At 47.0% G+C, this 15,707-nt stretch overlaps 1 pseudogene across 4 annotated transcripts; it reads right to left on the bottom strand.

The window, feature by feature from the left end:
- Positions 1-352: 352 nt before the first annotated feature.
- Positions 353-13,429, bottom strand: KIR3DX1 (killer cell immunoglobulin like receptor, three Ig domains X1 (pseudogene); annotated as a pseudogene). 4 transcript variants are annotated; one of them, NR_026716.2, is made up of 9 exons: positions 13,290-13,429; positions 13,043-13,078; positions 12,111-12,389; positions 10,230-10,535; positions 8,959-9,251; positions 8,096-8,146; positions 3,475-3,597; positions 2,693-2,745; positions 353-2,584 (listed from the first exon to the last, which is right to left on the bottom strand). The product of NR_026716.2 is annotated as a killer cell immunoglobulin like receptor, three Ig domains X1 (pseudogene), transcript variant 1 (transcript). The 4 variants fall into 4 exon arrangements; NR_104095.1 differs by lacking the exon at positions 10,230-10,535 and having other exon boundaries at positions 8,959-9,237; NR_104097.1 differs by lacking the exon at positions 10,230-10,535 and having other exon boundaries at positions 2,693-2,856; positions 8,959-9,219.
- Between the last annotated feature and the right edge of the window lie 2,278 nt (positions 13,430-15,707).

The following is a 15,707-nucleotide window of genomic DNA, read 5'->3' as shown; positions in this document are numbered from 1 at the left end:
CTTTCTCTCCATGTGAAACCAGGGGACGAGAAAAGGTACAAATAGGAGGTTGTCATGAGCGTCTGTGTGAAGAGACCACCAAACAGGCTTTGTGTGAGCAACAAGGCTGTTTATTTCACCTGGGTGCAGGTGGGCTGAGTCTGAAAAGAGAGTCAGCAAAGGGTGGTGGGATTATCATAAGTTCTTATAGGTTTGAGATGGGCGTACAAAGTACATTCTCAAGGGCGCGGAGAATATTACAAAGTACCTTCTTAAGGTCGTGGAGGGGGCTGGCGTTGGGGGGAGGATATTACAAAGTACCTTCTTGGCGGGGGGTGGGTGGCAGTGGGGAGAAATATTACAAAGTACCTTCTTTTTTTTTTTTTTTTTTTTTTTTTTTTTGAGACAGAGTCTTGCTCTATCGCCCAGGCTGGAGTGCAGTGGCGCGATCTCAGCTCACTGCAAGCTCTGCCTCCTGGGTTCACGCCATTCTCCTGCCTCAGACTCCCAAGTGGCTGGGACTACAGGCACCCGCCACCATGCCCAGCTAATTGTTTTGTATTTTTTTAGTAGAGACGGGGTTTCACCACATTAGCCAGGATGGTCTCGATCTCCTGACCTCGTGATCCACCCACCTCGGCCCCCCAGAGTGCTGGGATTACAGACATGAGCCACCGCACCCAGCCTCGAAGTACCTTCTTAAGGGGAGGGGAGAATATTACAAAGTACCTTCTAAAGTTGTGGGGGAGAATATTACAAAGTACCTTCTTAAGGGGAGGGGAGAATATTACAAAGTACCTTCTAAAGTTGTGGGGGAGAATATTACAAAGTACCTTCTAAAGTTGGGGAGAATATTACAAAGTACCTTCTAAAGTTGTGGGGGAGAATATTACAAAGTACCTTCTTAAGGCGGGCGAGCGGGGGCAGGGCGGTGGGGGGTAAGGGGGCGAGGAATATTACAAAGTACCTTCTTGGGCGGGGCAGAATATATGGTATCAGTTAGTGGGGCGGGAACAAGTCACAGTGGTGGAATGTCATCAGTTAAGGCTATTTTCACTTCTTTTGTGAATCTTCAGTTGCTTCAGGCCATCTGGATGTGTACGTGCAGGTCACAGGGGATAGGATGGCTTAGCTTGGGCTCAGAGGCCTGACAGAGGTGACCTTCTCAAAGTTTGGGAGAAAATCTCTATGGCAGAAATTTGCATGAGGATAAGAGGTGATAAGACACTCCACAAGAGAACTCTGCTTGTTCCCCGCATTTCGTAAGATAAAGACATGTCACCATTGATGTGAAATATTATCGTTTTGTTACATTAGGTCTCTTCCAGGAGCCTGCACTGCATGAGAAAATAGGCTCTGCATCTTCAAATTTGCACCTTTAATCTAGAACAGCTAGAACTTCCTCTGACAAGGAAAACATTTTGTGTTCATGCTATTCTCTCCCACAGCCAGCAGCCACACGTGGCTCTGAGAACTCAAATTGTGGCCATGTGGCTGAGGAACTGAATTTTAAACTTCATGGAATTTGATCTATTCTAATTCTAAGTTAAAAAGCCATATTTGGCTAGTGGCTACCATATTAGATGACTCAGATATAGAATACACTTCATCTCTGCAAAATTTTGTTGAGTAACAGCAAAGACGTGGAATCAACCCAAATGCCCATCAATGATAGACTGGATAAAAATAAAGTTGTACATATACACCACGGAATACTACGCAGTCATAAAAAGGAATGAGATCATATCATTTGCAGAGACATGAATGAAGCTAGAAGACATTATCCTCAGCAAACTAATGCAGGAACAGAAAACCAGACACCGCATGTTTTCACTTATAAGTGGGAGCTGAACAATGAGAACACATGGACACAGGGAGGGGAACACATTCACTGGGGCCTGTCAGAGGAGGGCAGGGGGTATGGAGAGCATTAGGGAAGAGAGCTAATGCCTGCTGGGCTTAATACCTAGGTGACGGTTTGATAGGTGCAGCAAACCACCATGGCACACGTTTACCTACGTAACAAACCTGCACATCCTGAGCATGTACCCCAGAACTTTAAAAAAATTTTTTTAAAAAAACCTTATTGAGTAATTTAGAGATTAAACTGGCTGAGCATATACATCGGCTTTCCAGAAGCATGTCTGTAGAGTTTCAGGATAACTCAGATGATATTAATGAGATATCCAGGATGAGTGTGTGGGTAGAGTCAAATCACCTTAAATGGTTGGATGCTCAAAATAGAATTGTAGAATGGCTAGTTGTCTGTTCAGCAGTGCTGGAATTTTAAGATAATCCCACAAGCATTCAGACACTGCTGTTGCCAGCTTCGAGGTGTCAAGATGGTACCAGAAGGAGGAAGAATGTCCGTGGAAAAAAAATCCTCCTAGGAATAGATCCAGGTCCTTGCGTATTAATGCCCTTTGTGCCAAAGACTGGGGGCAGCTCTGGCCTCAGCCTGGGCTTGGTGGACAGTGATGTAGATACTAGGATCCTCCGAGAGGTAGTGGGGACACTGGGAGGCAGGAGGGAATCCTGTCTGTGAGAGGGCCTGGTGGTTTAACTGGGCATATATGATCTCCTGTGTCTCTTCTGCTGCAGGCTCCTGAGAGGATGAAGGTGAAAAGAGGAGCATATTTAGTGGCTGAAGGCAGGGGCACTGGGAATGGGAGGGGATGAAGCTGTGGTGATGGTTTCGGCTGGGAGAACTCACCTCTTCATCCGTCCGTTGGCCTTCCGTGGGCTCTGTGTTTGCCATGGTGGTGTCTGTGGGGTGAAAAAGAAAGTCTTCCAGATCTTCACTTCAGAGGTGGCAATACCAAGACCAAAACAAGGCAAGGGCGTGCCTGAGGCTGCAGCGTGATCCAGCCTCCCCCACTAAATTCAGAGAACCACCCATCAGCAACCTTGGGGCAATCTTGACTGCCCCAGGACCGCTCCGATAGATGGCCCCCATCCTTCTGCCTCTCTCATGGACCATCTCCTGCAGGTCAGTGGCCTCCCCAGAGGTGAGGTGGAGGTAGGGGAGGGGTTGGGGTGATTGGTCAGTGAAGGGAAGGAGCAGGGTTTCTCCATCAAGAACCTCAACGGAGGCCGGGCACACTGGCTCACGCCTGTAATCCCAGCACTTTGGGAGGCCGAGGCGGGCGGATCATGAGGTCAGGAGATAAAGACCATCCTGGCTAACATGGTGAAATTCCATCTCTACTAAAAATACAAAAAATTAGCCGGGCATGGTGGTGGGCACCTGTAGTCCCAGCTAATCGGGAGGCTGAGGTGGAAGAATGGCGTGAGCCCGGGAGGCAGAGCTTGCAGTGAGCCGAGATAGCGCCACTGCACTCCAGCCTGGGTGACAGAGCGAGACTCCATCTCAAAAAAAAAAAAGAACCTCAGCGGAAACACAGATCAACCCACAGGACGTGAATAGCACCCCCGTGCGCCAGTCACATCCCCACGGGGCTCACATGATACTGTCCTCCCCTCCCTGAGACTTACGATATTTTATGTAACACCAGAAACCAATAAAAGCAGAGAGGCAAACGCCAATGGAGATGATGGCTACTGAGAGTCCAGTGAGCATATGCAGGTTGCTGGACTGTCCTTGAGGGCGAGGTGTGTCTGTCAAGAAGCAAATGATAAACCCTCTCATTGACTGGTTGCCTGTTTTGTGCCAATACATACTGAACACACAACATGCTTTATCTGAAGCTCTTCCAAGATCCCTACACCCGAACAGTTACTTTCTCCATTTTCCATCACTTACACAAAAAATTCCAAGAGAAGTGAAGACACGTGTCCAAATCAAATGGCCAGTAAGAGAGATGCAGAGGCCTGGTGTGGTGGTTCACACCTGTAATCCCAGCACTTTGGGAGGCAGAGGTGGGCAGATCACCTGAGGTCAGGAGTTAGAGACCAGCCTGGCCTACATGGCAAAACTCCGTCTCCACTAAAAACACAAAAATTAGCCAGGCGTAGTGGTACACGCCTGTGATCCCAGCTACTCAGAAGGCTGAGGCAGGACAATCGCTTGAACCCAGGAGGCAGAGGTTGTAGTAAGCCGAGATTGTACACAGGGTGGGTGACAGAGCAAGACTCCATCTCAAAAAAAAAAAAAAAAGAAAAAAAAAAGGAGAGACATGGAGGTCTGAACCCAGGCCTACCAGGCTCCAGTGTGCCTCCCCTCCCACTTCCTCATGAGACAAGACAGTTTGTTTTTGCATGACAAAGGAAACCCTCTGCATGTACCATAGCTGAATACCATTTCCCTCGTCCCTTCTCAGCCCAGGACAAATACACTTTCTGAGAATGGAGATAGAGGTGGCCAGAGGATGACTCTCATGCCAGTTTCTGAGAATTGAACTTGCTCCAAACAATGTTGGTGTTTTTCTGAGTAATGAGTAAGAGCAGGTGGGTGGAGGATTCAGGAGAGAAAAAGGGGAGGGGGCACAGGCTATGTCACATAGGAGCATACCCTCCGTACCAGGACCCATGCTGAGAGGTGGTGGGAGGACTTCCACATGTGTGGACACATCTCATCACTCTCTCATCCATGATATAGTCCTTGAAAGAGAAAAGACTGTAGCCAGCCGTACTCTTGGGCTCAATTCTAGACATGTCTGCTACTTCTAGACATTCAACTTGGGAAGCTTTTCTTTCTTCTCTTTCCTACTTTTTTTTTTTCCATAAGGAGGGAGGCATCATTAGCCCAATATTCTATCCAACAACTTGGATGCTTTGGCCAGGTGCCATGGCTCATGCCTGTAATCCCAGCACTTTGGGAGGCACAGACAGGCTGATCACTGGAGTTCAGGAGTTCAAAACCAGCCTGACCAACATAGTGAAACCTGTCTCTACTAAAAATACAAAAATTAGCCGGGCGTGGTGGCAGACACCTGTAATCCCAGCTACTTGGGAGGCTGAGGCAGGAGAATCACTTGAAACTGGGACATTGCAGTAAGCCAGTTTCATACCACTGCACTCCAGCCTGGGCAACACAGAGAGACTCTGGCTCAAACAAAAAGAAGAAAACAAAAGAAAAAAGAAAAGAAAAGAAAACGGATGCTTTCCAAGATGAGTGACCATAACTAGCAGAGCCATCCATTGAGCCCAAGTGTCTGATTATAATCTTTTCTCTTTCAAGGACTATGTCTCGTTCCCCCATAAGGCTCCCTGCTGAGTTGCTACTTCTCTGATAGCCCAAGTATGAGTTGCCATCAATGGAATCAGAGGCTCAGAGAGAAATGAGCGTGCCCCAGGTCATGCACTGAGAAATACTGGAACAAGTTTCCAAACTCTCCCTCTTAGTGACTCCAGCTCTGAGCCTCTCCTGAATCCACCTGCTCAACTCCTTCTCCAGCCCCAGCACATCTAAGCTGCCATGAGTGTCCTCTACAAGGATGTCACAGCCCCACCAGGCTCCTGGCTTCCACTCCTGCCTCCCTGTAATAAACACTATTCACATCGGCCGATTGCTATCTCTAAAATAGAATGTGGATCATGACACGTTTCTGACTAAAACCTTTGTCTTCGGCCAGGCACAGTGGCTCATGCGTGTAATCCCAGCACTTTGGGAGGTCAAGGTGGGTGGATCACCTGAAGTCAGGAGTTCAAGACCAGCCTGGCCAACATGGTGAAACCCTGTCTCTACTAAAAATACAAAAATTAGCCAGGCTTGGTGGCGGGCCCCCTGTAATCCCAGCTACTCAGGAGGCTGAGGCAGGAGAATCGCTTGAACCCAGGAGGCGGAGGTTGCAGTGAGCCAAGATCACGCCATTGCACTTCAGCCTGGGCAACAGAGCAAGACTCTGTCTCAAAAAAAAAGAAAAAAAAAAACGGCTGGGCACAGTGGCTCACACCTGTAATCCCAGCACTTTGGGAGGCCAAGGCAGGCGGATCACAAGGTCAAGAGATCGAGACCATCCTGGCCAACATGGTGAAACCTGGTCTCTACTAAAAATACAAAAATTAGTCGGGTATGGTGGTGGGTGCCTATAATCCCAGCTACTCAGGAGGCTAAGGCAGGAGAATCACTTGAACCCGGGAGGCAGAGGTTGCAGTGAGCCGAGATCACGCCACTGCACTCCAGCCTGGAGACAGAGTAAGACTCTGAAAAAAAAACAAAACAAAACTTGTCTTCACCTCTTTATTGGAATAAAATCCAAACTCTTTACTGTTGCTTAGAAACCCTCACTTGGTAGCACCAACAGGCTGGCTCTAGTCAATAAGAACTTTACTGTACATTTTAAAATAAAAAGCATAATTGGGGCCAGGCATGGTGGCTCACACCTGTACTCCTAAGACTTTGGGAGACTGAGGCGGGCAGATCACCTGAGCTCAGGTGTTTGAGACCAGCCTGGACAACATGTTGAAACCCTGTCTCTACTAAAATACAAAAAGTTAGCCAGGCATGGTGGCGTACACCTGTAATCCCAGCTACTTGGGAGGCTGAGGCAGGAGAACTGCTTGAACCCAGGAGACAGAGGTTGCAGTGAGCGGAAAGCGCGCCAATGCACTCCAGTCTGGGTGACAGAGCAAGACTCCATCTCAAAAAAAAAAAAAAAATCTTAATTAAATTGTTTGTAACTCAAAGAATAAATGCTTGAGGGGATGGATGCCTTAACCTCCATGATGTGCTTATTTCACATTTCATGCCTGTATCAAAACATCTCATGCGCCTGATAAATATACACACCTACTAGGTACCCACAAAAATTAAACATTTTAAAAACGAGAAACGTTCACACAAGTTGGTCCCTGTCCTCCTCTCTCAGCTCCACCCCTCTCCCCCGGCATGTCAGCCTCACTGGTGCTGTGAACACACACAAGGCATTGCCATGTTGAATTTTTTTTTTTTTTTGAGACGGAGTCTCGTCCTGTCGCCCAAGCTGGAGTGCAGTGGCATAATCTCGGCTCACTGCAACTTCCGCCTCCCGGGTTCAAACAATTCTCCTGCCTCAGCCTCTGGAGTAGCTGGGACCACAGACATGCACCACTACGCCCAGCTAATTTTTGTATTTTTAGTAGAGACAGGGTTTTACCATGTTGACCAGGAACAGCTCGATCTCTTGACCTTGTGATCTGCCCGCCTCAGCCTCCCAAAGTGCTGGGATTACAGTTGTGAGCCCTGCGCCCAGCCCTGCCATGTTGAGTTTATGGCACCACTGTTTACCTGCTGGGAACGTCCTTCCATCAATCCTTCCAACACTGGCTGTCCTTGTCATCAGGATCACACCTTAAATGTCAGTTCCTTGAGTGACATAGAGTCTTCCCTTCCACCTGCTCTAAAGGATCCACTTAAGCTTTCTCTGTCACATGACTCTATCTTAATGAATACAAAATTAATGGATCTGAATAAATCAGTTCACACGTTTATTCATTATAACTTTTCTCCTCCCTGCACACACCACTGGAACACAGGAACTGTTGAATATGTCATAGGACATTAGAAGATGGACAATAAGGCTGGGTGCGGTGGCTCACACCTGTAATCCCAGCACTTTGGGAGGCCAAGGCGGACAGATCACTTGAGGTCAGGAGTTTGACACCAGCCTGGGCAACATGGCGAAACCCTGACTCTACTAAAAATACAAAAATTAGCCGGGTGTGGTGGTGGGCACCTGTAATCCCAGCTACTCGGGAGGCTGAGGCAGGAAAATCGCTTGAACCCAGGAGGCAGAGGTTGCAGTGAGCTGAGATTGTGCCACCGCACTCCAGCCTGGGTGACAGAGTGAGACTCTGTCTCAAAAAAAAAAAACAACAAAAAAAGACAGACAGTGAATATCGAATATGGTCTTTTAAATCCTTCCCATCTTCCAGCATTTTCATGTTCACAGACCTCCCTGGAGGAATGAGAAGCATTGCTTTTCAGCAAGGGTCAGGTGACTCTGACCTCTTCCTCCCCTGTGGATGAGGCCTCAGTCCCAAAGCGTCTGAGGCTGAAAGGCCTTACAGATTCCCGCACTGACCACAGTCTCAGATGTGGATGGGGAATGTGGGGACCTGGGAGGGGCTGCCTAGCCCAGGGTCATGGAGCTGGGAGGTGGCACAGCTTTCACTCACACTGGGGCCTTCTGTCTCCCCAGGGACTCAGACACTAGGATAAGAGTTATTTGCTTACCAGATTCAGGGGTGGATTCTGTGAATGACAGAGGAGTACTCTTAGTGTTTCCTAGGAAAAAAAAAGGCAGAGAAGGGGTGAGCAAGCGTCATTGATTGCCCCATTAAAGTAGGACCATTTTCTTTTCTTTCTTTCTTTCTTTCTTTCTTTCTTTTTCTTTCTTTCTTTCTTTCTTTCTTTTTTTTTTTTTTTTTTGAGTTGGAGTCTTGCTCTGTCGCCCAGGCTGGAGTGCAGTGGTGCCATCTTGTCTCGCTGCAACCTCCACCTCCTGGGTTCAAGCGATTCTCCTGCCTCAGCCTCCCGAGCATTAGCACCATTTTCTTTGGAGGCTTGGTCCCTGCACACCCCCTACTCTGTCATCCACCTAAAGACTAATGGGGGCCCTGGGGTCTCTTCCTTGGAATCTCTGGGGGACAATTCCTTCCCTGGGATGGGAAGGTGATAAGGAGAAGCATGGTGGGTGATGTCAACAGACATTGTCTCCCATCGGGATGATAAATCTCCACGTTCCCCAGCAGGGAGATCTCTCTGTGTTGAGGGGTCAGGAGGGGCTTTGGAGAAATGGAAAAGGGTGAGGGGCAACCTCTGACCTCGACAAACTACATCTGGCCTCACCTCCCCCTGTGTTTGTCCTGACCTCTTTCTTCATACAGAAGGTGGCAGAGGGTGTGGAGCTGCCCCGTCTTACCACCCTACACCCTGACAGCCCCATCATGCTCAGCTTCTTTTTTCCTGTGTGTGTTTGTCACTGTTTCATTTTATCCAGAGTACCTAATACCCCTGTGTGCCCAGCGGGACGCCCCTCACGTGTGGCTCTGTGATCCAGTGGGCACCAGAGCATGCAGCAGGCATGGGCTCCTCACCTGTGGTGTAAAGTTGCAGCGGGTCACTGGGGGCTTATAGGGAGAGTCATTGAAGGAACCATAGCATCTATAGGTCCCGCCAGGGACTGGCGTTGCACGGCCCACAGAAAAGTTGGCCTGGAATGCTTCCCTGTGTCTCTGCCCTCCACTGAGCCACTGTCCATGAGCAACCCCGTGTCTGAACAGATGGTACTGGTCAAATGAGATTTCAGAGCTGCAGAAGAGGGTCAACTTCTCTCCCAGCCTCATCATGGGGTCCACCTGGGTGGAGAGAGAAGGCTTTTTGTATTTTCCTAGGAGAAAAAGAGGCTGATTTTAGAACACACGCCTGAGTGTATGAACAAAGTAATCTCTCTCCCTCTTTTTTTTTTTTTTTTTTTTTCCTTTGAGACAGATTTTCACTCTTGTCTCCTAGGCTGGAGTGCAGTAGCACGATCTCGGCTCACTGCAACCTCAGCATCCCGGGTTCAAGTGATTCTCCTGCCTTAGCCTCCTGAGTAGCTGGGATTAGAGGCACGGACCACCATGCCCAGCTAATTTTTGTATTTTTAGTAGAGACAGGGTTTCACCATGTTGGTCAGGCTGGTCTCGAACTCCTGACCTTGTGATCCGCCCACGTCAGCCTCCCAAAGTGCTGGGATTACAGGCGTAAGCCACAGCGCCCAGCCTCGCTGTTCTTATCTTGGCAGCAGATTCCGAATGTCGGCTGGTGCCCCTGTCAATCTCATGTTCATCTCTAGGGTCCTGAGTCAGCCTATGTCTGTGTCTTTTTACTTCCTCTGCATTTCTTTGATTCTGCTTTTGACTGAGTCCCTGTGGTTTACCGCCCCTAGAAGCCATATGAGATGTGGGGTTCTCCTGGAAAATGGGAATTACTCTGTGCTTTGAGACCCTTCAGAAAACATAGTGCTGGCCTTGAGTTCTCTGACATGGGGCTACGGGGTTATGAGTCTTACTATTTTTCAATTGTGTTTGTTGAAAAATATAAGAATCTCGGGAGGATCAGAAGGAACCTCACAGGATCCCACTGCAGGGAACAACTGGCTGTACCCCCAAGCCCAAGGAGTTAGACGTGACTACTTGTTGGGGAGGGTAGAAGTGACCCCTCCTGCCTCTTTAAGCAGTAAGACATGTTAAACCCCTTTGCTGAGCACTTTTTCACAGTCCCTCTCTTCCTTTATTTCTCTTCCTCTACTGAGGTTTGATTAACAACCGCATTACATGAAGCTCCCATGGCACCAACAGACCACGGATGGTCCAGCCACACTCACCTGTGATCACAATGTCCAGGGGGTCACTGGGAGCCGACCACTCATAGCGGGAGTGACTGAAACAACCACAGCATCTGTAGGCTCCTGCATGGGCAGGCGTTACAGGACCCATGGAAAAGACAGCCTCGACGTAATGGATCCCAGCCTCCATCCCCTGGTCAAGCTGCTGGGAATGCTGTATGTGCCCCTCTTTGTATAAGATAAATTCATCAAAGGCCAGTTCTGAGTGACAGCGCAGGCTCACCCTGGCTCCTGCATGCACCAGGGAGCTTGGGTGCGCTGAGATGGAGGGTTTTGTGAACAAGCCTGAGAGCAGAGACAGAGGAGTTCACATGAGTCTCCTTCCTCACCCCTCGCCTGAGACCTCAGGGTGAAGCTGTCCCTCATCACCCCCAAAGCCCGTCTGCGTCCTTCCTGTTTGTGTGCGTGCATGTTCTCTCTGCGCGGATCCCCATTGTCTGGCTTGAAACCATATGAGATGTGGGGTTCTCCCGGAAAATGGGAATTACTCTGTGCTTTGAGAACCTTCAGAAAACACACTGCTGGACTTAGGTTCCCTGGCATGGGACTGTGAGGTTATGAGCCTCACTGTTTTTCAACTCTGCGTGTTGAAAAATACAAGACTCTCTGGAGGATCAGAAGAAATCTCACAGGCTCACACTGAAGGAACAACTGGTTTTGCCCCAAAACCCAAGAGGTTAGACGTGACTACTTGTTGGGGAGGGTGGAAATGACTCCTTTTCCCTGTTTAGGCAGAAGGACACGGTAAACTCCTTTCCTGGGCAGCCCCTCACAGTCCCAATCTCCATTCAGATCCTCCAGGAGCTTTCGTAGCCTGGATCTCCCTGCCTCACCCCAACCTGCTTTCCCCGCTCTCTTGGTGGAAAGACCCAATCTCTTCTCTGTTTCTTCTGAGCTCCTTGAATGTGAGACTGCCAAATTAAAATACATGCATTGTCAATGTTGTAAAATGGTTGTACAGCAAAACTGAAATGTTTATTCTGTCATTTTCAAAGTTACAAATTAATGACTTGCAAATTGAGAACTATTTTCTAGTTCTTAAATTTTTCTCCCATGCTTCAAGAAGTTAACAACAAAAACTGATTTTGCATTATTAACACAGAACCAACCGTGAAAATCCTGGTTCTTGATGTTTTCTCTGAAATCCTTCCTTGACTCACGGTTCAAGGCACAGATCTCTATCTTTCTCTTCCAGAAAACTCTACTCTCTCTCTCTCTTTATGTGTATATTTACATACATATATAAAATATGAATAACTCCACACTCTCCCTTCCCTGCTTTATAGGATGGGCAGGGGCGACTCCACAGGATGAGTTTCTAACTCTCCGTGAGACACTCTGCACATCCATGAGAGAGAAGGGATGAGTGTCACGAGACTGGGAAGGAGGAGGAGAGGAATGGGTGCATTTCCCAATCCATGTCCCACTGAGCCACTGGACTCATCTCCCGAGGGAACTGTCACTTCCCCAAGCCTCTGGCTCCTTCGAGGCAGAGTAACGACTTCCCCGAGGGAAACACTGGTGCTGGGGTCAGGCAACATGGCTCCTCCCTGGATCCAGCTGGGGTCAGGCAACATGGCTCCTCCCTGGATCCACCCTGCTGCAATTGGTACCAGCACCCTGCGTCTGCTACTCCCCAGGCAGATTCTCCTGCTGCTCGGCTTCCTCCCTCCTCCTCCACCTGGGTACCTGATTCCTCACAGGAAATGCCCTCTCTTTAAATTCCCAGGATGGCTTCTGTGTCCACGGTTAGTGCATGACTAGGAATCCCACAACAACTCTCTGGCTTCATTGGGTGTGGACTCTGGGCAGGTCCATCTGGACACCGGTTGGACGTGGGGTGGGCTGGACTTCTCCTACCTGTGACGATGATCTTCAGGGAGTTGCTCTCAGCTGACCACTTTGAGGCGTGCTTGTAAATTCCAACACATCTGTAGGTCCCTGCGTGTTCTGGGGTCACAGGGCTGATGGTGATGTTGTTGGAAAGGCCAGTGTGCAACTCATGGCTTCGGGTCCCAGTTGTTTGGAATATTGTCCATATGACAAATCGAAGATGGGAATGACAGGAGAGAGTCACACGTCCTCCTAGGGGAACCACAGGGCTCGGCCAGGCTGACAGGGAGAACTTGTCCTGAGCACCTGGAAGAGAAGGAGGCACAGCCTAGAGAGGGAAATGTGGAGCCCCCCGTCTCCCGCTGTCCTTGGGGGCATTTCCTTCTTTACATTGTTCTGGTTTGCCCTGTAACGTGGGGTCCCCTGATGCCCTGGGATACCTGGTCGCAAGCCAGGGACACAGCCACCCCAGAGTGGACATGGAAGGTCTCCCCAGAACAGAATTCTACTAAGCATGATGATACAATATTGAGCCAAGTTGCTCCTAGTTCTTGTCTACAACAGAAATCTGTACATGGAGGAGAAGGAGGAATCTACCAGATTCAAGCAATACAAAAAACATATCAACTCATTTAACAATTCCCAACACAAGTGCCCAGCACGGGTCCCTGCCTCCTGACAGAGAGTACTCCTACCCTACCCACCCCCAGACACGCTGGATTCTGAGCATCACAGGCTCCTTCAGGAGATTGGATGAGCCTGAGGGGCTGCCTATGGAGGGTTTCTAGAACAAAATGGAGCCTGGGGTCTCCAGAGGACTCCCTTCCTGTGTTCCCAGTGCTCACTGCAAAGCCCACCCCATGTCATCTGCATCAGCCTGACTTCGTGTCCACCCTCCCTGCCTGGAGAATCATTTGTGTTTGGCCAACACAGCATCCTAGGACTGGGATAGGACTCACCCGCATGTGGGCAGATCTTCTGGTTCAGGCAGAATCCTAGGCAAAAAAAAAAAAAAGAGAGGAGAGAAAAATAGCTTGTCTTCATGTGAATCCTTCCCTCCTTGTAACTGGGTTTGTCAGCTCAGCCTGGATTCAGAGGGTGGATGAACCTGGCTTCCCACCACCAGACCTGGGTTGTGGAGAGGCCAGGTCTTCAAGAGAGCATTTTCCATCCCAACCGTGTCCTCCTTTCCCTTCCAGGACTTACCCAGACACAGGACGGTGATGAGTTTGGGGGCCATGGTGCCACTTCTATTGGGCAGGACACAGGGGTTGAGCTAAATTGGAAAATGAACAGGATGTGGTAACCATGGTTCCAGTTTCAGTTTGCAGAGTTTAGAGGGTGCCCCACACAGGAAGATGACCAGCTCTCACCCTAAACATAGTGGGTGACACAGGAAACTTGCAGACGGTATTCTTGGTTCAACAGAGCCCCTAACAAAGGCTTGACTTGAACCCTAGCACCGACCAATCCATAATGTCTATATTTCAAATTTAATTTTTCTATGTGCAAAAGTGTAGAATTGTATCTTAATATCTTATTGCCTTTTTTGAGAACTATGCATGATTTGATTTCTGTGATGCAAGGTTCTCCGCCAAATTAAAATAGATGCACTGTCAGTGTTGTAAAACGGTTGTACAGTAAAACTGAAATGTTTATCCTGTCATTTTCAAAGTTGCAAATTAATTACTTGCAAATTAAGAACAATTTTCAAGTTCTTCAATTTTTCTCCTATGCTTCAAGAAGTTAACACCAAGAAAAACTGATTTTGCATTATTAACACAGAAGCGAGCGTGAAAATCCTGGTTCTTGATGTTTTCTCTGAAATCCTTTCTTGACTCACAGTTCAAGACACAGATCTCTATCTTTCTCTTCCAGAAAACTCTACTCTCTCTATGTGTATATTTACATACATATATAAACTCTGAATAACACAAACATATGTGCATATAACGCTGAAGGTTCTCCCCAAAAGCCAATTCATTTTATTAAAAAATTAGTAAGATTATAGCAAGAAAAAAAGCCCTGTGAAATCCACACTGAAAAAAAACAGCATATTCATAAAAATAGTATCAACTCATGCTTTGTCTCTCATCTGTCCCAGAACTTCTCAATGTATGAAAACCACACACATACAATTTTGGATCTTTTCTGTGTTATTTTTGTAAATATGTGTCTCTGATATCATAGCTATCATCTGGTAATATTTGTGTGTGTGTATGTACGTATATTTTTACGTTTTAAATATAACACAAAAGGATAGTTTGTTTTGTGTTTTTGATTGTAAAATGATACCGCTATGCTCCTAATGCTCTGCATAGCTCTTGTTTATTTAACAACAGACAGACTGCAGTAAATCGCTTGCATATTCCTCAATGTATTTGTCCTTTTGGGCAGATATGATGTATGTTTTCACCGGACATTTTGTTTTTTGGAGCAATGTTTGCCGGAGCATTCTTGCCTGAGTGTCCTGGGTTTTATGAGTGAGTTTCCCTGAGTACACACCCCAGGGTGGGACTGCAGGACATGGGGAATGTCAAGATAAAAATAAACTGACAAAAACACATGTTTTACAGAATGATGACCCCAAAACTGCCAGCAACCGTTGTCAGATTCTGTTGTTTTTTCCACTTCTCAGAAAATACCTGATTACAGATGACAGAGGATGAACTTGATGTTAACATTTACTTAAATATATTCTACAATAGAAAAATATGTTGAATAAATGCTGTGATACAAATATCTGTACCTGTAAGCAAATGTATCACCTATGAGAAATAATTTTTACAAATCAATGGTGCCATTTATTAAACATTGTGCTATGTTTCATAAAATGTGTTATAATTGATTGACTTGGAAGTGAGATTTGCAAAGTTCAAGACCTCAGTAGTGGACAGTCACCCTGCAAGCAAACACACGGGACAAATACCCACTTAAAAATATGACGCATGCATTGGTTAAAAATGAGGAGAACTTGTTAATTGACGTTGCTAAATGTACTTCATGGTGTTTACGGGTTTCTTGCCAGGAAGACAGCTTAGCAGTGTTTACACATTGGGATGAGGCCAACAGCTTTATGAAGTAAACTGTTTTAATCCAGTGCAATTTTTATTTAGTACAAATTAAAGTTCTAAGAAGTAAGCGTACACTGGACTGTGAGAACAAGACACAGCATAAGTAATAGCAGAGGGGCCGTGGCCTTTGAAGAAGGAAAATTTGAACACTGATAACTTCAAAAGTTTGGCTTTTGAAGGTGAGGGTTAAGTCCATAAAAATTTCAAAGCGTTCCATGAAATTCGAAATTTTTAATTTTATATTGAAGAATGTGATTCTGTGCTTTTTAAAGCAGTGTTGAGAAGTATAAATAATTACAGGAGTTAATTTGGGATATTGATGTGGGGCATATTTTGATTACTGAATTCAATACCTAAATTCGCAACTCTTCACTAAAACAAGCTCTACTAAATATTGAATGCCCGTGATGCATTACATGGTAATTAGTATGTCTTTAAACTATTTTCCTTCATGAATTATTTCCAGAAGGACCCACATCATCTGTAGATCTTAGGTATATCGTGCAAATTTTCCAGAAGTGCTGCCCAAACAATAAATACAAATAGTTGA

The sequence above is a fragment of the Homo sapiens genome, chromosome 19 (assembly GCF_000001405.40).
Source record: "Homo sapiens chromosome 19, GRCh38.p14 Primary Assembly".
In the NCBI taxonomy this organism is placed as follows: domain Eukaryota; kingdom Metazoa; phylum Chordata; class Mammalia; order Primates; family Hominidae; genus Homo; species Homo sapiens.
Note: the sequence above shows the minus strand (reverse complement) of the source record. Positions and strands in the feature narration are given on the sequence as shown.